General features: G+C 50.0%; 1 protein-coding gene and 1 long non-coding RNA gene across 19 annotated transcripts in view, besides 2 other annotated features; one reads left to right on the plus strand and one right to left on the minus strand.

Moving 5' to 3' along the window:
• The window catches only part of CPA5 (carboxypeptidase A5), a 29,784-nt gene extending 12,437 nt beyond the window's left edge, over nucleotides 1-17,347 (plus strand). For 13 of the 18 annotated variants that reach the window (XM_047421035.1, XM_047421036.1, XM_024447000.2 and 10 more), the window contains 8 exons: nucleotides 2,337-2,435; nucleotides 3,891-3,992; nucleotides 5,186-5,287; nucleotides 5,632-5,742; nucleotides 6,167-6,257; nucleotides 10,120-10,319; nucleotides 10,654-10,738; nucleotides 11,158-11,478. In XM_047421035.1, the coding sequence (XP_047276991.1) occupies nucleotides 2,337-2,435; nucleotides 3,891-3,992; nucleotides 5,186-5,287; nucleotides 5,632-5,742; nucleotides 6,167-6,257; nucleotides 10,120-10,319; nucleotides 10,654-10,738; nucleotides 11,158-11,345 (978 nt within the window). In that variant the 3' untranslated portion in view covers nucleotides 11,346-11,478. Of the gene's footprint in view, nucleotides 1-2,336; nucleotides 2,436-3,890; nucleotides 3,993-5,185; nucleotides 5,288-5,631; nucleotides 5,743-6,166; nucleotides 6,258-8,952; nucleotides 9,134-10,119; nucleotides 10,320-10,653; nucleotides 10,739-11,157; nucleotides 11,479-13,456; nucleotides 13,596-15,296; nucleotides 15,443-16,455 lie in introns of those variants that run through there. The other 5 variants (XM_047421038.1, NM_001127442.2, XR_007060171.1 and 2 more) reach the window with 4 other exon arrangements.
• Nucleotides 8,234-8,735: an enhancer, noted in NCBI's record as "H3K4me1 hESC enhancer chr7:130005327-130005828 (GRCh37/hg19 assembly coordinates)". NCBI's record gives its function as "activates a minimal SCP1, AML or CMV promoter by ChIP-STARR-seq in naive H9 embryonic stem cells {active_cell/tissue: H9 hESC(naive)}" and the evidence as "EXISTENCE:reporter gene assay evidence [ECO:0000049][PMID:30033119]".
• On the minus strand, nucleotides 8,398-9,875 carry LOC105375504 (uncharacterized). Its single transcript, NR_133928.1, has 2 exons — nucleotides 9,578-9,875; nucleotides 8,398-8,617 (listed from the first exon to the last, which is right to left on the minus strand). It is a non-coding gene; the product is annotated as an uncharacterized LOC105375504 (long non-coding RNA).
• Nucleotides 8,806-8,855: a silencer, noted in NCBI's record as "silent region_18645". NCBI's record gives its function as "represses an Ori minimal core promoter by ATAC-STARR-seq in GM12878 lymphoblastoid cells {active_cell/tissue: GM12878}" and the evidence as "EXISTENCE:reporter gene assay evidence [ECO:0000049][PMID:35858748]".

Raw genomic sequence — 21,364 nt, forward strand, 5'->3', positions numbered from 1 at the left:
TCATTAGGCATTGCCTCATCTGTGGCAGGTGGGGCGGGGAGGGACACCGCTCTTCCTGACGGGGGTGGAAGACTCCACAGCAGCCATTAGGGCTTTTGGTTTTGCTATTATTTATTCATTTAAAAGTTCTGGGCTGAGGTGGGTGCATCACCTGAGGTTGGGAGTTCAAGACCAGCCTGACCAACATGGAGAAACCCTGTTTCTACTAAAAATACAAAAAATTAGCCAGGCGTGGTGGTGCATACCTGTAATCCCAGCTACTCGGGAGGCAGAGGCAGGAGAATCGCTTGAACCTGGGAGGCAGAGGTTGCGGTGAGGCGAGATCACGCCACTGTACTCCAGCCTGGCCAAGAAGAGAGAAATTCCATCTCAAAAAAAAAAAAAAAGTTCTTATTGAAGTAGTATAAGCACATTGCCAAAATGTAAAAATAGAGGATAGAAAAAATTTACTCCAAATCTGCCTTCTTCTATCTTAGCAGGCATTGCGAATATTTTGGTTTATATTTTTGGGATTTTAGTATCTTGCATTCTTATGCTCAGGGGTCCTTGAGTTTTCATCATTGTAAAAATCTTTCAAATTGAAAGAATAGTACAATGGAGTTTTTAGCTGTTGTTAACACTTGCATGCTCTTTCTGTCTACACACATATGCATACACACAGACATAAACATATCTGTGTATGTGTGTGTTTTTGTGCCTCTGTGTGTGTGTGTGTGTGTGTGTGTGTGTGTGTGTGTGTGTTTAGAAATAGGGTGTCACTCTGTTGCCCAGCCTGGAGTACAGTGGTACGATCATAACTCACTCTCAATCATAGCTCACTCTAGCCTCCAACTCCCGGGCTCAAGCAGTCCTCCTGCCTCAGCTTAAGTAGATGGGACTGCGGGCATGCGTCACCAAGCCTGACTAATTTTTTAATTTTAATTTTTTGTAGAGATGGGGCCTTGCTTTGTTGCCCAGGCTGGTCTCAAACTCCTGGGCTCCAGCGACCCTCCTGCCTTGGACTCCCAAAGTGCTGCGTTTACAGGTGTGAGCCACCATGCCCAACCTGCATATGTGTTATTACTGTTGGCCTTTAGTTTTGATAGTTGGCCTTAAGGAACCCAAGGGTACAGACTAGAATGCCTGGTTCTTATCTCACCTCCACCACTTGTTAGCTTTGCCATTAAGTCCCTTTACCACTCCAATCTGCTTTAGCTCTAAAACAGAAATAGCTCATTTCTGTCCTGTTTTCAGGTCATCTGACCAGATCAAGTGAGATCATGAACATAAAGAAGCTTGGTCAACTAAGGCTCTAGCCCCAAATAAGTTATCAGCAAGACTTAGTTGTGGCCCAGTGCTGCAAACAAAGGGCAACTCGCGTTAATGAGGATGCTTTCTCAGCATCCTCTGTGGCAGACGACCTGAGTACTTCCCACACTGGACAGTCTGTGCTGAATCCTGGGGTGCCTTGGCTCCTGGATGCCATTATAAGGGCATGGGCTTGGGTGAAGGACACTAGCTCATCTCACTGTGACCCAAGCAGAGAAAAATGTCCCAAGATTATGTAGGTGGTCTGAGCAGTGAGTGAGTGGTTAACCCAACCAGGCATTATACTGCCCTCTGTATGGGCAGCGGGAAGTACCATGTAAGGCTTGAATGCTTGACTCCACGTTGATACCCAAGGACATTGCTTTTGGCTCATCAAGACTTGTGTTTAGGAGATAAGTGAAAGACCATTGGCACATTAATCATATTGATTTGGACTGACTTTGGCCATGCCTGGCTTTCTGAATGGCTTGGATACCAGTTGTCTAGGCTGTTTCCTAGAAGTGGAGTTAATGTTGGGGGTCAGAGGAACCCTCTGCTTCCCCCAGGGGGGTCAGTGCACATGGTTCACCTTGGGTCCTGACTCAACAGAGTGTTTATTAAGTGCAAAAGCAATGTTGGCAGTAGACTGTGAGCACCTTTTTTCCCCCAAAAACACCTTCAAATCCATTATTACATTTTATCCTATGAGGTGGCAAGGCAGATATTGCTTTCCCAATTTTCAAGCTGAGGAAACTAAGGCCACAGTAAATTCCACAGCCAGTTAGTGGCAGAGGCAGACCTAGAACCCAGCTCTCTGGACTCCTTGCCCTGTGATCATTTGGGAAATGGCAGCATGACTGCCAGCTTGCCAGGCAGAAGAATCAGCCAGCAACCTGGACCTTCCTTCTGTTGTGCAGTTCACACTCATGGTGGCTCATTCTCCTGTGTTGCTGCTGTCTTTATGCACAGCCAGTGGAGGCAGGGCTCAGAAGAGGCATAGCCAGCCCAGCTCTCCCCTTCCTTTCCAATATGTGTTCCCCATCACCCAGGTGCTGCTGGATGAGGAAAGACAGGCCATGGCGAAATCCCGCCGGCTGGAGCGCAGCACCAACAGCTTCAGTTACTCATCATACCACACCCTGGAGGAGGTAGGTCTGGCCGGGCAAGCTCTGGGCTCTCTTGTGTCTTTGGGCCCCTTAGGGTCTCCTGACTCAGTCAGAAACTAGTGAAGGACTCCAGGGTTTATGGGAAACTGTGACTGACACTTAGGGACTGTACAGCAGACATTAGGTTAAGGTCTGTTAGGCAGAGAGTCATATTCAAAGAGATCTGGAAGCCAGAATTCAGATAGAGGGGACAGTAGTTCAACTGTACAGCCCTAGACAGGTACAGAGCAGAGTAATGGGTCTACTAGGCAGAACACTAACGCAGGGACCCATTATGGGCCAGAATAGAGCAGGTAGAAGCTACCTTCATCTTGACAGAGCAGGAGCGTCGCCATCTTGAACAAACACCACCATTCTAAGTTCCCCTGGATTAAAAAACTGCCTAAATCCAGTCCTTATAGTTATAAAAAGGACAAAAATCAGCCAGAAGCCCCTCCTGGGTTTATTTCTCTAAAATAAACTTGTCCTTGACTGTGAAGCCACATTTTGTGTTTCTTTCCTCTTTCTTTAACTCTTACACATATCCAATCCTCCAGCTAGGGACCTAGGGCTCTCAGCCCGTGACCAGTCCTTGTGTTCAGTGGCCCCAGCCATGGGTGCTGGGGTATATAATATGAGGGGCAGGAAGCCAGGCACATTGGACAGCCATGTTTGTAGAATAAAAGGGAGGTGCCTTCACTTGGAGAAAGTTCATGACCACAGTTAGAGCCAGCCAGGGTAAGTGACTTGTTTATAAAGGAGAATGTACACAGAGGGTGCAGGGATGCCCACTCCAGAAAGGAACTCAAGGCACACGTCTCATTTTGCGTGTCAAAGGACATGACCTTCTTGATACCATCCATCTATTATCATCATCGCTTTTCCCACTTCACAAGTCATGCAATAGAGCATCCATTTTCTTTCATATATTTGTTAATTCAATTACATGTATTGAAAGAACAAGAGAATGAAATAATACAGTCTGTCACTATTTATTGATGCCAAAGATAAATAAAACAAGAACCCTGCCTTCAAGGGGCTTACAGTCTAAAAGGAGCGAGAAGATAAAAACAACACTACAAAGCCTGTCAGATCTGTCAAACGGATTGAATGGGCCAAAGAATGGAGACAAGAGAGAATTTCTAACCAGAGAGAGCCATGTGGGTCAAGCCTGGGGATTTGAGCAGGCTCAGCACACACTGTTCTTCCAGGCAAAGGCATAGCTCTGCACAGAGCAAGGAGCCTGGGAATCCAGCAAGATCACAACTCACTTCCTTTAGCTCTGAGGGAGTGCTCTATTTTTGCAATTCTTTATCTGGGTTCTTTTAGACCCTCGAGGGTCTAAATACCCAAAGCATTGAAGAGAGTGGGAAGGGACAGGGAGAACATTCAGAGAGGCCCCAGTGTTCATCCCTCTTCCTGCTTAACTGCCAATCTTACACACTTCTTTCCTTTCAGATATATAGCTGGATTGACAACTTTGTAATGGAGCATTCCGATATTGTCTCAAAAATTCAGATTGGCAACAGCTTTGAAAACCAGTCCATTCTTGTCCTGAAGGTAAAAGCCCACAATGTCAACCTGTAGACTCTACCTTGAGGGCCTCTGGCATAAGATTGATCTCATATGGGGTAGTGGCTGGGCGGGAGTTTTGCGGAGAAGGACAATTTGTCTACTCCTGTCCCCAGGTGACCCATAAACTTTGGGGTTGTGGCATTCAGAGATCCACCCTTGTAGTATGAAGAGGTGACAGTGTGGTGACCTAGCCTGTCCTTGGTCAGGAAGTAGGTGGGAGGATGGCTAAGGAGTTGGGGCTGCAGATTGGCAGTTGTCACCCTGGACTTGGGGTGTGAGTGTGGGTGAGCTGGCGTTCTATTACCTCAGTTGCTTCATCTGTTCAATGGGAAGAGAGGTACACAGAAGGCCCATTTGCTAATGAGGTCATCTGGCTTAGACAGCCCTACAGACATGCCTGAGTCTATAGAGAAGCCTCCCAGCCCTTCACAGGAGCCACTGGAACAGAATTCAAGCAACTCAGGACCCTGCAGTTCCTTGGGTCATGAAGGAAGTAGGAGATGTGAATGCAGAGCCCATCAGAAAGCAATTCTTAGTTTGCGCCCAAAAGGGCACCCGGGAGTGTGGACCCTGCGGGGCGTTTAGCATCAGCTGTCAGGAAGGGCAGGTGCCTGCTGCTGCTCTCAACGATTCTCTGATGGGCTCCTCCGAGCAGCCAAGTGGACCCACCTAACTTGGGATTTGACTTAACCTGTCCCTGCTTCCATTTCTCCAGGGGCCATGGTCTTCTCTCTCTAATGTTGTCTGAAGCCTTGCTATTCAAAGCACGGCCCCTGCATGGCAGCATCAACATCACCTGGGAGCTTATTAGAAATGCCAAACCTCAGACCCCTCCCCAGACCTACTAAGTCAGAATCTGCACTGGAATAAGATCCCCAGGAGACTCATGTGCCCATTAGAGTTTGAGAAACCCTGGTCTTAAGATACTTTCAATCCTGGGAAATTCTGTGCTTCTGGATGGATCACTTTGCTCGCCAATGGCACCACCATATTTTCAAAGGCCCTCACACGTGTGCACTTTTGGGCACATGGACAGGTACCTGCACACACACCCTCTTACCCAGTGCTTAAAGCTGCCCCAGGCACTGAGGATGCCTCAGGGACCTCCTTCCAGGTAGCCCAGAGACAGTAGCTGTCTGAGTTCAAACCTCGGTTTGGGGCCCGATTCTTTTTCTCAGTTCAGCACTGGAGGTTCTCGGCACCCAGCCATCTGGATTGACACTGGAATTCACTCCCGGGAGTGGATCACCCATGCCACCGGCATCTGGACTGCCAATAAGGTCAGCATGGACCTGTAGCCAAGGTGCACCCACGATGGGGGCTGCAACTGGGGGCAGGAACTTACTATTTAAGGGCACCTTCAGTTCAACAGTTACACTCAGGGTGCTGTCTCCATCCCGCCCTTTGGAGCAGCCACCGTGCACTCTTACCTTTTGCAGCACGGAGCCCACATTGATCCCCTGCCTTCTAGTTGTTTAAAATCCAAGCCTTTGGTTCTGCATAAAAGATATACCTCAGGGGTTTCATGCCATCCCTTCCTGCAGCCACTGGCTGTGAAAATGTCCTGTGCCACCTCCCAGGAGACCCAGTAGGGCCTCCCATCCCTCCTCACTCTTTCTTGCAGATTGTCAGTGATTATGGCAAAGACCGTGTCCTGACAGACATACTGAATGCCATGGACATCTTCATAGAGCTCGTCACAAACCCTGATGGGTTTGCTTTTACCCACAGCATGGTGAGGGAACCTGGGAAGGATGGAAGGAGGGGGTCAGCTCTAGGGGGATGGAGAAAAGGTCACTGTGCTTTGGGAACCAGCCCCTTCAGAGCCTCTTTGCAGAAGCCCTCACCAAGGGCAGGAGGGCTGCTCAGGTACTGCACCTGCAGCCTCTTGCCCTCTGACCTCTTTCTTGCTGCCCAGGGAAGGCCTCTATTGGCAGCCTGTGCCCAGGCCTCTCCCTAGACCCTGACTTCAACTGCACAGTATCTGAGCTGCATCTTTGGCCCAGCCCCATGCCAGCCCCATCCTGTCCTGGCAATTCCTTCCCTTTGCTCCTCCCTGCCCCACTAGGGTCCCCTACCCCCATAGGCCAGGATATCAGAGGCTCCCATCCCTGGGAATGGGCCCAGTGAATGAGGTCACCTGTCCTGGGCTTTCCCAGAACCGCTTATGGCGGAAGAACAAGTCCATCAGACCTGGAATCTTCTGCATCGGCGTGGATCTCAACAGGAACTGGAAGTCGGGTTTTGGAGGTATGGCAACCTGCTGTCCTGGGGCAGGGTTGGAGAAGAGGTGTTGGCCCATGGCAGGTTCTCCCACTCAGTCAGATTATGTTGACTCAACTTGGGAGGCATGGGACAATGTAGTCAGCTAATATGCATGAGTCACGGCCAGGGACAGGCAAGCACATACCTCAGACTGGCTGTGGGTACGGGAGAGGTTGTGTGTGTGTGTGTTGAGTGTACACATGTGCCAAACCTTCACGGGAAACAGTTAGGGGAGCCCCAGCTCCTGAAATGAGGACTAACTGCATGAGTCAAATCCTAAATATGACAGAGAAAGACTTAAAGGAGGTACAAAGTAGCCTTGCTTGTTGTTCAAAATCCAGAGTTTATGGTGCTCCTAAAATATCCCTAGCCCTGCCCTGAAGGGAGCACAACATGAAGAAATGCCTCTGAACTCTTTCCCCGAGAGCTAGGACCTGAAATCTGCCCTCTGGGGAGGCCAGGGCAATAGTTTCAAGTGTCCAATAGAATTAACCACTTTTTTTTCTTGTTTTCTTTTTTTTGAGACAAGGTCTCACTCTGTCACCCAGGCTGGAGTGCAGTGGTGTGATCATGGCTCACTGCAGCCTTGACCTCCTGGGCTCAGGTGATCCTCCCACCTCAGCCTCCCAAGTAGCCGGGACCATAGGTGCACACCACCACACCCAGCTAATTTTTGTTTTTGTTTTGAGACTGAGTCTTGCTCCATTGCCCAGGCTGGAGTGCAGTGGCGTGATCTTGGCTCACTGCAATGTCTGCCTCCTGGGTTCAAATGATTCTCCTGTCTCAGCCTCCTGAGTAGCTGGGATTGCAGGTGCCCACCACCACGCTGGGCTAATTTTTGTATTTTTAGTAGAGATGGAATTTCCCCATATTGGTCAGGCTGGTCTCAAACTCCTGACTTCAGGTGATCCACTCACCTCGGCCTCCCAAAATGCTGGAATTACAGGCATGAGCCACTGCGCCCAGCCAATTTTTGTATTTTTAAAAAATTTTGTAGAGACGTGGTTTCACCATGTTCCCTCAGCTGATCTTGAACTTTTGGGCTCAAGTCAATCAGCCGCCTCGGCCACCCAAAGTGCTGGGATTACAGGCATAAGCCACCACACCTGGCCTTGAGCCAATTCTTTATCAACAAGGCTGGCTTGAGCCTGATTTTTATTTTTGACCCATTACTTTATGACCCTGGTGCATACCTGCAGAGCTGGCTGATCCCAGTGAGGGGGAGGGGGCAGCTTTCTCCTGAGTTCCTTGGTGTTCTTCCCTGATTATCTCCCTAACCATGCAAGGGGCACAGGGATTGGGAAATTGAGGCCTCCAGAAAGCTCAGAGACAGGTCCATGGACCCTGGAAATACAGCAATTTGATGGGCAGGACAATTTGATGGGTCCAGTCATGACAGAGATTCCAGAACAGACACAGCCCTCGGCCCCCAGACATGGCATCTGCACTTCACCGGGGGCTCAGGGTTTGGCTCCACAGGGGACGGTGTCATTGCTGTTGATAATCAGACCTATAGGCTGGTGTCCCAACCAATGAGATAGAACATTTTAGATCTGGATGCCCATTGCTTTTAAAATCTGGCTTCTTGGGGTCTGTTCTCACTGAAAAATAAGGATGGCCCCAAAGCACTGAGAGTGAGGTCCCTGGCCCTAGCGTGGGGGTTGTAACTGCTTGTGTAATGGAACAAGACCATGCAAAATTAGGCATTTCCACCTCCAAATGAACAGACGCTTGCCTCAGGGGGGGCATCCATGTGGCCCCTCAGCACTGACTGGAGTGAGTACCCATGGATCCCAAGATAGGCTGGCTAGTAGAAAGATAAATTACCTCTTAAAGAAAATAACTTCTGTGGGTCTCACCACAGGAAAAAAAATATCCATATACACACAGTGTACAAAACAATTATGGAAAAAAGCCCAGAGGGGGCAAAAAGCTCCCATAATCCCACCACTCAAAGATCACTGCTTTTAATAATTTACCATGTCCTTCCAGAGATTTCCCCTTGCTACAAATTACATTTTTAGAGAAGGAAAAATAAATAGCTAATGAATCCATTAGCAGGTACTTGTGAAACAGGCGGACTCAGAGGACCTTGACTGTGAACGTCAGAGATGCAGGCAGCCAATTCCCATTTGGCCAGGGGAAGATTAGTTTATTCTGCTTAGCTCAAACCAGAACTAATGGCCTAAAGTGTTTCTCCATATTTGGGCAAAGCCACCTGGTCGTTGGCAGGGGAACCGCTTTCTGTGCGTGGGCCGCAAAGGCAGACAAAGCCTTCAACCTCCCCCCGCTCTGCGCATCTGTTGCTGTTTGTCATTCATCAAGTGGAGCAGGTGCAGGAGCTCCTGGCAGACATAACAAACAAGGCCACTGTTAGATGGGCTGATTCCAGCCTGGGGGCTGCCTTTCACCCCCTAGCTCTGCCGGCACATCCCCTTCTAACCAGGGTCCCCATCCCAGGTGAGGACCACCAAACCGAGAAGGGGCGCGCTCCCTGGGCCTCCCTGGGGCCAGCAAGAGTGTGTGTCTGGGTTGGTGACTCAGGCTGGATGATTTTGTTTATGGTTTTGTTATTGCCTTAATTGAATGGCTGTGTAATGAGTAACCTGTAGACCATCCCTCCCACCCGTGCCTGGCCTCCTGTGCATTCTTGGGGAGGACCTGTGTGCTGCATTCCTAGAGCATCATCTGAAGTGGTCCATGGGCCAGCCCCCAGCCCCAGGAGTCAAGAGGAATGCTGTGGCCTCCTCAGGAGACTTCAGAAGTTGAGGCGATCCCTGATCTCTGGACGGTGCCAACATTCCAGGGAAGAGGAGAGAGAGGAGAAACTGGGATGACTCCTTCCAAGTGTGTCCTTAGCCTACAAAGTCTTGACCAGCTCAGCACAGCCCAACCCTCCCCTCAGGAATAAGGGAAAAGCAGAGGAGGAGCAGAAGAGGAAGACAGAGATGGGGCGAAGGCAAAGAGTCCAGGGGGAAATGGAAACAAATGAAACTTGGGAAAAGAATAAAAGCCCTGCTCCTCTTTGTTCTCTCCCTCATCTTAAGTCCCCAAGAAGAATTTTCAAAGACTTCTTTGCACCTCTGGCTCCCAGAACAGCCTCAGGCAACTATGGGGAACTATTCTCCCGTATTGGTTTCCCATATCCCCAGACCCCAAGTTCATGGCGCACCTGGGGCCATGGCTGTGGCAAAGCTTCAGCTGACACCGAGTCTGAGCCCTCAACTGATGGCACACCCAGGAACGGTCAGCCTAAAGGCATTTGCTGCTCACTAGGGGAAGCCAGGGTTGGGGCAGAGACTTACAGTTTCCTCTGGATGCAACTTCTGAGCCAGGCCCACCTTCCTAAAGGGACCACAGGACAAGCCGAGGGGGCTCCCTGCAGGGCTTCAGAACTGCAGGGTATGGTGCGGCTGCAGTCCTCTGACATATTAGATTAGAGGATGCAGCAGTAACAAATATCCATCCCAATCTCAGTGGTTTAACACAATGAAAGTTTGTTTTTCATGCACACAAAGTCCAACATGAACAGGTGACTCTCCTTGGCGGCTTTCTTCCGCAGTGAGAGAGGGATCCAGGAGGCTGTTTCTATCTAGAATTTTTTTTTTTTGCTTCCAGCCACACAGACAGAAAAGAGCATGGAGAAGTCACACTTGCTCTTAACAATCTCAACCCAGAAGTGCCGTGTCATTTCTGCTCACCTTTCCATTGGTCAAAGTAGTCACATGACCTCAGTCATACTGCAAAGGAGGCTGGGAAATGTAGGGGAACACACAGGTATTTTGTGAGCACCGTCTGTGTCGCACGTGGGGATTTGACTCTTTGGGTGGCTTTATTTTACTTCCAGGAAATGGTTCTAACAGCAACCCCTGCTCAGAAACTTATCACGGGCCCTCCCCTCAGTCGGAGCCGGAGGTGGCTGCCATAGTGAACTTCATCACAGCCCATGGCAACTTCAAGGCTCTGATCTCCATCCACAGCTACTCTCAGATGCTTATGTACCCTTACGGCCGATTGCTGGAGCCCGTTTCAAATCAGAGGGAGTTGGTGAGACTGGCTGCTTAGGGCCTGGGGAGAAGAGACCGCTTCACAGGAAAATCCATATCTGTCATACTCCCAGAGGGCTCAGGTTGTTACTCTGAATGCAGGGGTCTGGGCTGATTGACCCCATGGTGCGGGGGTGGGGTAGGGGGAGCTTGCTGTTCTCACGTGTGATCAAGTTCAAAGCTGGAAATGCTGTGCTCCCTTCTCACAAGGGCCATCTCCACCTTCAACTTCCAGGACTGCTAAATCCATGCTTCTCACCAGCTGGTGAGGGTGGGGGAGTGTGTGGGAGCCCCGGGGAGCCCCTGCCTTTCACCCCGCCAATGTCATCTTGCAGTACGATCTTGCCAAGGATGCGGTGGAGGCCTTGTATAAGGTCCATGGGATCGAGTACATTTTTGGCAGCATCAGCACCACCCTCTGTGAGTGAGCCTCCCCTGGCCCTGCTTCAGACACCACATCTACCTGGGGCTGGCTGCAGGGCAGTGCCAAGGATCTAGCTGTGCTGGCCCAAAGCTGCCTCCCACACTGGATAGAAGGGTGAACAGTGGTACCCAGGGAGCTGTTTCTTGGCAGCTTTTGTGCACAGCTCCCAGTGCCTGGCTTACTGCAAGGTTCCTAAGCCTAGTAGCCTGCAGGAGCTTTCTTTTTGCAGGAGTAGAGAATGGGCTGGGTGCACAGATGTGATCCTGTTTGAGGCCTGGGCAGGAAGCCTGGTGTGGCCTGGGGTGGGTGGGGGTTTGGCTCCCAGGGCTCACTTTCCACCCAGGATGCCTCTGTACCTTGCAGCCACATCCCCTTCTTCCTTTTGTGGGGCACATTTTGGAACTTTTGTTTCTAGATGTGGCCAGTGGGATCACCGTCGACTGGGCCTATGACAGTGGCATCAAGTACGCCTTCAGCTTTGAGCTCCGGGACACTGGGCAGTATGGCTTCCTGCTGCCGGCCACACAGATCATCCCCACGGCCCAGGAGACGTGGATGGCGCTTCGGACCATCATGGAGCACACCCTGAATCACCCCTACTAGCAGCACGACTGAGGGCAGGAGGCTCCATCCTTCTCCCCAAGGTCTGTGGCTCCTCCCGAAACCCAAGTTATGCATCCCCATCCCCATGCCCTCATCCCGACCTCTTAGAAAATAAATACAAGTTTGAACAGGCTTCGCTGCCTCTCGTGTTGGCTACCACCCCTATGGGCTCAGCACTGACAAGGGGACGAGAGGCTGCTTCTCATTCCGCAGGGGAGCCTGAAATGTGGGGGAAGCCTCTGCACTCTCCAGTCTACCTTCAGGAAAATAAGGGGGTAGAGGCTGTAGCTTTTCTCCTCTTGCAGTGTTTTCAGGGCCCGGAACACAGAAGGCACACATTGTCCCAGCATATTTACATTTTAAGATGCTCCTGGAGGGGACAATGTTTGCTCTAAAAGAGCATTTCTGATGGGGGCATTTCTGCCACCTTGAGGGAAAGGTTGGCCCAGACAGGCCACCTCTGCCTCGGTTGGCTTCACTTCCCATGCAGGGAGGGAGCAGGAGCACATTTTGGAGGTTACCACTCACCCCACAACCCAACACGAATGAGTCATTGGCTTATGACCTGCTCCCCCCGAGGTGTCCTCAAAGGCTCCCTGGGTCTTGGGAACACAGGGTCAGAGCTAGTCAGAGCCAGCACATCAAAGCACCGCATATCCAGGAAGAAGAGCTTCTCATCATCATCATCAGCGACACCATCCTGGTTGTCATCCCTGAGCTGTGTTAAGTAGGCACTTCCCCTAAGAGAGTTAAAGGGGCACTCGTGAGATACTAAGAAGACTCCTTCCCCCAGCCCCAGGCCTCCTTGTACCTTTTGCCTCTTCATTCTGTCTGCTGCCTTCTGGGAAATGATGGGACTGGCAGGCTGTACTATGCAGCAGGGATAGCAGGGCTGTTTGCTCTGCCCTCAGGAAGGCAGATAACCCCTAGAAACAGGAAGAGCCAAATGAGGTTGTGTAAGTCTGAGGCAGAAACATTAGTCGTGAGAGCAAGACTTGCATTTGCAAGAGCCAGGCTGTGTGTGTGTTTGTGTGTGTGCGTGTGTGTGTGTGCATGTGTGTGCACGTGTGTGCATGTGCGTGTGTGTGTCCGTGTGTGTGTGTGTAAAACTGGATGGCCAAGAGCCAACCCCTGGAGGGCACGGAGACAGGGAAGAAAACAGAGTGAAACAAAAATATTTGTGTAGAAGGCATAAAAGTTATCATCACAGACTCCACTGTGTAAAGGCATAACTTGCTTTATTTATCTCTAGTGTATATGAACTTAGCCTCCCTTTCCATTCAGCCTGTGAAAGGAGATAGTGCTTGGGCCATTTGGTAGAAGAAGGGGATGGGAGATGATCAAAACCCCAAGTAAGGTTCATATCCAATATAGTGTCTAAGCAGCAAATGACTAATGGCCGAAGAAGGAGACTAGACAGAGGATTAGAGGCAGCCATGGGGCTGGTGCAGCTGTGGAGAGCTCTGAGCAAAGAAACAAGGTTGGCAGGTGAGGAGGCCTAGGATAGAGGCCAGAAGGCCAAACCTGGGGCTGTGCAGCCAGTGGTCATGGTGGCACAGCAGGCACTGGCTGGGCATTGGCTGGGCATGCAGATGCCCAAGGCCAGCTGTGCCACATAGAAGCCCTGAGGAAGTGAGGGTAATTAACCCCTGAACAACCCAGATCATCTTCAGGGGAACAGCCAGCAGCAGAGGAGGAGAAAATCTTGACTTTGGCTGAAGTTTCCCACAGGAGACTTTTTTTTTTTAAAGCTGGAATTGGTCTGAGTGAGCTAGAATTTCCAACCCAAAGTTTTCTGCTGCTAGTGGAAATTCGAGGTCATGGGCTAAGTTAATATAAGCTAGAGGTAAATAAAGCCAGTTATACCTTTGCACAGTGGAGTCTGTGATTATAACTTTTATGCTGTCGATACAAATATTTTTATTTTTATTTCATCCTCTTGGGGAGGGTATTCCTGGTATTAATAAGTTCATTGTTTTAGATAAGGAAAGCAAGGTTCGGAGATGTTTCAAAAGCCATACAAGGCCACAATGGAGAGAAAATTGTTGAGAAAGATTTGAACTTGGGTTTGTCAAACTCCAAAACCACTGTCACCATTTGTCCAAGTGCAGCCGGTGGCCCATCTGCAGCAGAATCCGTGGAGACTTGTTTAACAGGAAGGGATTTGGTTCCATCTCCAGACCGAATTAGAATATCTGGGGGCAGACACCCCAAATCTGCATTTTTACCAACTGCCCAAGGAGTTCTGAGGTATCTTCAAATACCCACTGACCCCTGTTCCCCTGCCTCCCGGGAAGAATATATTCCAGTCTTCCGGGGGGAGTTGGGCCTTGGGTCTCCCCACTCTGCCATTGTCCACTGGGGCTGGAGGTGGCTGCCACAGAGGGAGGCCAGTCATTCTCTAGAGTACTTCCTGGGGGCTGCCTTGGCCCTAGCCTAAAGCAGTGTGGTCTGCAGACCACAGGCATCACATCACCTGGGAGCTTAGTCCCAGCCCTACTAAATCCAAGTCTCTAGTGGGTGGGGCCTAGGAGATTTGAATGCCAAATTGGACAAGAACTGGCCTAGGGGCAGGAGGCCTTGGGCTCTGATGAGCTTCCCAAGCCGAAATAAACTCTTTTCTAGCACTTACAATGTGCCAGGCACGGTGCCAAGTGCATTAGGGGTTTCAACATGTCGCCTCCTCACAGCTCTCAGAGGCAGGACTATTACTGTCCTTATTTTCAGCCAAGGAGGTGACTCAGGCTCAGACAGGATGGTTGCTGAAAGGCACACAGGTCCTGAGTGGCAGGGTTTGGGCTGACCTGCAGGCTGGTAGCTCATCATCTGCCTTCAGAACCTGAACCCAACTCACGGCCAAGGCTCTGCAGGATCAGGGATGAGGAACTTGTTCTCACAGCCAGCTTGGCCAGATCTCTGTACAGCCATTAAGCTCACAAAAGTTGAGGCTGAAACTGCTGTCCAGATGGAGGTCTTCTTTTTTTTTTTTTGAGACGGAGTTTTGTTCTTGTTGCCCATGGTGCGATCTTGGCTCACCACAACCTCTGCCTCCCGGGTTCAAGTGATTCTCCTGCCTCAGCCTCCCGAGTAGCTGGGATTACAGGCATGTGCCACCACGCCTGGCTAATTTTGTATTTTTAGTAGAGACAGGGTTTCTCCATGTTGGTCAGGCTGGTTTCGAACTCCTGACCTCATGTGATCTGACTTCCTTGGCCTCCCAAAGTGCTGGGATTATAGGCATGAGCCACTGCACCCGGCCCCAGATGGAGGTCTTCTTAAAAGGCCCAAGGTGCTGCCCAGTGGCCCTGTCTACCTCTCCTGCCTTGTGCCAGGACCTCTTGCCTCCCTGCTCATCAGCTCCAACCTCACTGGCTCCTCTCAGTTCCCTCAACACCAATGTTCCTGCCCAGCGGCTTTGTGTGTGCTGCTTTCCTGGAACATTCTTTTCTCCCTCTCTCCCCCTTCAATATCCTTCCTCACAAGTCCTAGGACCACCCACTGGAAGTACATCTTCTCCTATTATTCTCTTTTCCAGAACTTCATTTATTTCCTTCAGAGCAATGCAATGATAATCAATAACTAATCGACTTCTTAGTCCACTGCTGTCTGTCACCCCCATCATGTGCGAGCTACATGAGGGCAGGGGCCGTGTGTGCGTTGCTCACTCTCTCTGCACCTGTCAGCACTGGGCACACAGAAGATTCTCTATATTTGTTAAAGGACTGTTTCTTCTCAGCCTAGTAAAATTAGGACTAGGTTTCACTCTATGTGGCAGAAGTCCACCTTACTGTGGCTTAACCAGATAGGGGTTTTATTTCTGTCATATAGCAAGTAGTCATCTGAGGTGGGCAGTCCAGGGCTGGACAGTGACTCCTGGGTATACTGGGGACCCAGACCCTTGTGATCTCTTCTGCTTCACCATTCTGCTCTATTTTGACCTCTACTTTCAAGATGGCTGCTCTACCTCCCTTGTGACGAAATTCCAGGCAGGAAGAGCAAGGGGCAAACAAGTGAGCCAGCTGAGGTGGCGGGTCCAGAGACTTCGCCTTACACTATATTTGTTGAAACTGTGTCATGCGGCCATGCCTAGCTGTAAGGTAAGCTGGGAAATAGCTCTATAGCTGGGCGTATTGCTGCCCCAATGAAAATTGGAGTTCTGTGGGCAAGGAGGAAGGGAAGAACGGATATTTGGAAGGAGCCAGCAGAGTCTGCAGCAGCTTCTCTGAGGGGCAGGGAGGATCTGAAGAGGCCTCAGAACCCATTTCTTGCTCTAGTTTATCAAGGACCTAATCCTAAAGCCATATAATTATCCAGATGTTTTAGCCCAACCCGCTCATTTTTGCAGTTATGAAGACAGGGGCCTCTGGATCACAAGATTTGCACGAGGCCCCACGTGAATTTAACAGCTGGGAGAAGACTAAGGCCAGGGGGGTGCTCTAGTCCCAGCCCCACCACAGCTTCCTTCCATATAGATTGAGGGTTCACCCCTCTGGGTCTCCTCAGCAAGCCCAGAGAGATAATGGCGGGGGTTTAAGTTTATCAAATAAAAGCTCAAGACTTAGACACGCAAGTTGTAGAGCTGCTACAGAAGAACCTCCTTTTTATAAACCCTGAACGTTTTTTCCCCCATTTTCTGAAGTATATAATGCTAAACAGCAGCTCCGTTTTTCAACATACTGCTTGCTGGTGGTTTTTTTTTTTTTCTTTTTCCAACAAACTGCTCTTTTTAGGTATGTTTTTTCATCCTTTACACCAGCAAAATTTATGAGCATTTATTTAAAAGAAAAAAAGCATTGGAAAAACTGAAGAGAGAAAGAGCAATTCTACATATGGAAAGCTATAAAGAACCACAGCGAATGTGCTGCGGTTATTGCTTTCTTAAAAAAACAAACCAGGCAGGCAGTTTGGAATGTGAGGGGCCTGTGTGAGGCCAGGCTGGCCGGGAGGCCGTGGGGGCTGGGCCCTGGCAGGGATCCAGGGAGTGCAGTGAGGGGCCCTTCACACCCCGATCCTCCTCCATGGCCCCTCTGACCACTCCAGCGAGAAACAGGCCCAGACAGAAAACGACTTTACTGAGAACATTTAATTTAATGTAAAAATGCCCCTTTAGGAAAACAAGAAGGCCCAGGCAGCCGGTCAGCACAGGCTGGGAGAGAATGCAGCGAACATGGGGCCTGTCGGAACTTCCCAGACGTGGTGGGAACCACACCAGCACAGAGTCAACAGCAGGCAGGGGAAGGCCTGCGGGGCCCCAGGGCCAGAGGCTAGGACGGGCAAGCCAGACCGGATTTGGGAAACGTGTTATCATTTCCAAGGACTATCCCAAGTACGTGGGGTAGGAGAACCTTGGAGGCCAAACAGGCTGCCTGGATTTGTCCTTCCGGACGCCGCCCCCACCCCGCCGCCCATTATTTATTGCTGTCACTTTGTTGACGTTCCAGAGCCAGGCCTGGCTGCTGCGGCTCCCAGACCCGGTCCCAGGCATGTTGGGACACGGGCCGGCTGTGCTCTGTGGAATGTTCCCAGGCAGCAGGTCCACTTCCTGGGCTGCAGCCCTGGGTTCTGCTGATACCCCTTCTGTAGCAGACTTCTCCTGCCCTGTCCTCCAGCATGGCCTGCCGGCGTGGGACAGGCCTGCCCCACATCTCAAACTCGGGGGGCAAAAAATGTCCTTCTGTGGAGGGGGCCCCTGAAGGAGAACTCCAGCCTGCTTGGTTGACTGAGGTTCTTCTTCCCTGAGCTTCTAGGATGTCCTTAGAGTGGGAATCCATTCCCTCTGGTCGTCCCTTACCAGGCTCTTGCTCTGGGGCCTGCAGTTCACCTCTTGCTCTCTTCTAACCAGCTCTGCCAAGCTCTGCGGCTCTCCCTCCACCTTCCTGCCCTGTCAGCCCACCTCTCTCAATTCCCCAAAGCATGGCTAGACCATGGGGTAACAGTTCCCACAACTTTACTTGGGATATGGAAGGAACATACAATATAGAAAATAAAACATGGAAGCTGGACGCTGGATGTCTCTGGTGTTGGAGCTGGTGGTTCATGTCCCACCATGGGTCACCCCAATAGGCCTTCACTCTCCTTGACCCTCAGCTGGCTCCCACGCTGCTGGGGTGGCCCATACCCCCTCCCACAGTGCGGACGCCCTCCAGGTGCTCCTGAAGCCTCTCAGGCTCCCGCCATCTTTCCCAGTACCCGAGGTGCACCCCTGCCCAGTTCCTCCTAGTGGCAGATCTCCATTCTGAGACTGGGGCTCTGTTCTCAACATTCCCTAAAGACCCTGGACACTGGGGGGCTTCTCTCTTCAGGGGACCCTTCTATCAGAGAAAAATTCGGCCTCTACTTCTAGAGAAAAAATACCACTAGCCACTTTAAAGTTTTGACAGCCCTGTAGCTTCAAAGCAAACACACCAATAGGCTCTGCTGGACACTCAGTTATAAAAGCAAAACTTAAGGAGGCCACTGACTGGACCTCATCCTCTCAGCCTCCCACAATGCCCCCAAGCCCTGGTGACCTCCCACTAACACAGCCTCAGCAGGATGCAGCCCCTCTCAACCCAAACTGCACTGGACATGCATACCCATTGCAAGCCCCAGGCCCTCCCTGGCTCAATCCTTACCTCCCTGCAAACATGGCATCTTCTTTCCACCCTTCCCAGACCTGTCACCATGGCTTGATTTGTTTTGGGGTAAAAAATTTAAGTGTGTCAGGTGCAGTGGATCATGACTGTAATCCCAGCATCTTGGGAGGCTGAGGTGGGAGGATTGCTTGGGCCCAGGAGTTTGAGACCAGCCTGGGTAACATGGTGAGACCTCATCTGTAAAAAAAACAACAACAACAACAAAAAAAAAACTTAAAAAATTAGCAGGGTGTGGTGGCATGCACCTGTAGTCTCAGCTACCTGGGAGTCTGAGGCAGGAGGATCCCTTGAACTTAAGAATTCCAGGCAGCAATGAGCTATGATCACCCCACTGCACTGCAGCCTGGGCAACAGAGTAAGACCCCATCTCAAAAAAAGAAAAAAAAGAAAAAAAGAAAACCCAAATATCCTAGCATCGTAAAGTGTCACCACTGGAAGGGACCGCAGAGATTATTCTGACCAACTCCCCCATTTAATAGATGAGGAAACCAAGGCCCAGGGATGTGAAGTGACCTGCCCAAAGTCCTATAACGAGTTTGCGGCAAACCACTTAGAAAGTATTCCTGTTTTATTTTGCTCTCTTCTGAAATTAGAGAATGTCTTTTTATCACCTGTGCACTGTCCCCAGTCACATGTAACAGAAAACCAACTTGAATTGAGGAAAAGAAGAAATTAATTCATTGGCCCATCCAGAGAACTGGGGTTGGGCTGGGATGTCTAAGTCCACCTGAATCATGTGGCCTCAGAGTGGGCAAGGAGTGGTCTCTAGGGGAAAATGGAGGTCCTGTTATCAGATGGAAGAGGCTACCAGGCAGGGTAATGAGAGGTATACACTGCAGTCCCTGACTCGGCTGCTGCAGTTTCTCAGACTTCCCTTCCATGTGCACAACCATGTCATGTCCAACCCTGAACACACCTGCCAAAGGGAGGCAGCTGAAGTCTCATCTAGCTATTGCATCTGGCCCTTCTGACAGCACCCATCATGTTCTCTACAGGGATCTTTCTCCACTGTCCCCTATTGATCCCTAACGTGGATACTGGGGACCAGTTCTCCTTTTGCTTCTTTGACAATCCATTTTCTAAGTTTCATTTTGGGGGTTTCTGAGCATTGCCTTAGAGCCTCTGTCTACCATGTTTGGGGATATTCTGGAAGCAGGCCTGTCATGGATAGTTGTCCAGTTTGTGCACTGCTCAAAGTCATCCTGCTGAGAGAGAAAGGGACTATACCTGCCCAGACAAGGAGGGGTGCTGATATGGGCTGGCTGTGTCCCCACCCAAATCTCATCTTGAATTCCTGCATGTTATGGGATAGACCCAGTGGGAGGTAATTGAATCATGGAGGCAGGTCTTTCCTGTGCTGTTCTTGTGATAGTGAATAAGTCTCATGAGATCTGACGGTTTTTAAAAAGGGGAGTTTCCCTGCACAAGCTCTCTCTCTTTGCCTGCTGCCATCCATGTAAGATGTGACTTGCTCCTCCTTGCCTTCTGCCATGATTGTGAGGCTTCTGCAGCCATGTGGAACTGTAAGTCTAATTAAACCTCTTTCATTTGTAAATTGCCCAGTCTCAGGTATATCTTTATCAGCAGTGTGAACATGGACCAAAACAGGTGCCTTTCTGCATTTTACATAAAGGCTCTGATAGGCTAGAATTGGTCCCCTTTTCTGAAAATACAAACACTTTAAAAGCTTAATAGGTGCATCAATTAGAATGCTTTTTTCAACAACAGAAACTCCAACTAACAAAAAAGAAATGTATATTCTTTCATATATATATGACCTATATATATATATAGACCTAAACATATACATAAACATATATATATACATATATAGTCTGAAGGTGAGGCAACAGACCTGACAGTATCCAGAAAAAGGTGCCCTCTTTTGGGGAGTGGGGCAACCTTTTCTAGAAGCTTCCTCACGGGCCTCCTCTCATGTCTGATTGGTAAAGCTGGGTCATGTGCCCACCTTTAAACCAGTGACTTGCAAAAGCCAATGAGATCTCTTCAATTGTCTTAGACCAGTCAGAATTTGTCCCTGAGCTGGCAATGGCAGTGTTTCTGGGGGCGGATGCCGACATACAATCTGGTTTATTTAGCAGGGAAGAAACAGGGAGGGATGCTGTGGGCCACAGTCAGCGTGGCTGCTGCAGGCCTCCCACTGTTTGCGTTCTGGCACTTGCCCGTGACTCATTCTTGAATCTAGATCCCAGCCTGGTGGCTTCTTTCTCATGGTGATAGGTCCTGGTGCTATACTTACCCAGCCCTCGGCCCAGTGGCCTCCATGTTTGCCCTTGCCTTGCTTGGACCAATGTGAAACCATCACATGGAGTGGGAAGGCCCTCTGACCTAGGTTACATTCCAGCAAATTGGCCTTTACCAAGAGGTACATTTTTGGCTTCCTGAGGTGGCCGGGAGGGGCCCGAAGCATGAGGCTTAGCCCGCACCTGAGACCCAAATTCCTCTGCCATGATGCTGCCCACTTTCTGCTGAACTTGTAGCATCGAATTCATCCTTTCCAGCCTTGCAAAAAAATATATTATATGACTCTTGGGCATCGTAAATTGCTGGCTGGAGGTACAAGAGGCTCCCTTGGTGAGTCTGCACCCTCTCCCCCAGGCCGCCCTCTTTTTCAGAGGTGTCGTCTTTTCTGGAAGGAATTCACAGAAGGCCCAAGAACCAGCCAACATCCCCCAACATGTGTAGTGTGAGCAAAAGAGATTCAAAATTATAGGACAGCTTCATATTTAGGAATAGAAAAAGAAATATTGTTTTTATAATGCAAACTAAATAAAGACCCTACAAAACCTTCCTTCCCCATGGGGAGCAGGGTAGAGAAGCCCGAGGACTCTGTGGGGCACCAGGAAATGAGGAGTAGGGAAGACATGGCTCCTGGCCTGGGGTAATTTAATTTTTTTTTAATGTTTTAATTTCCTTTTTAACTTTTTAGAGAGATGGGATCTCACTCTGTTGCCCAGCCTGGGGCAATCATGGCTAACTGCAGCCTTGGACTCCCAGGCTCAAGAGATCCTCCCGTCCCAGCCTCCCAAGTAGCTGGGACTACAGGCGCCACCACGCCCAGCTAAGGAAGTTTACAGTCTCCATGGAGAGACAAAAATAACATTTTAGGAGCAACGAAGAAGAAATCAATGTAAGTTTGTGTTCAAGCACTAAATAGCGTGATGAACACCCTTCCCCACCTGGCAAAATCCTATCATAAGACCTAAGTTAAGCTGGGCTCAAGCCTATAATCCCAACCAACACTTTGGGAGGCCAAGGTGGGAGGGTTGCATGAGCCCAGGAGTTCAAGACCAGCCTGAGCAACATAGTGAGACTCCATCTCTACAATAAAAATTTTAAAATTAGCCAAGTGTGGTGGTGCAC

The sequence above is a fragment of the Homo sapiens genome, chromosome 7, assembly GCF_000001405.40.
Source record: "Homo sapiens chromosome 7, GRCh38.p14 Primary Assembly".
Classification (NCBI taxonomy): Eukaryota; Metazoa; Chordata; class Mammalia; order Primates; family Hominidae; genus Homo; species Homo sapiens.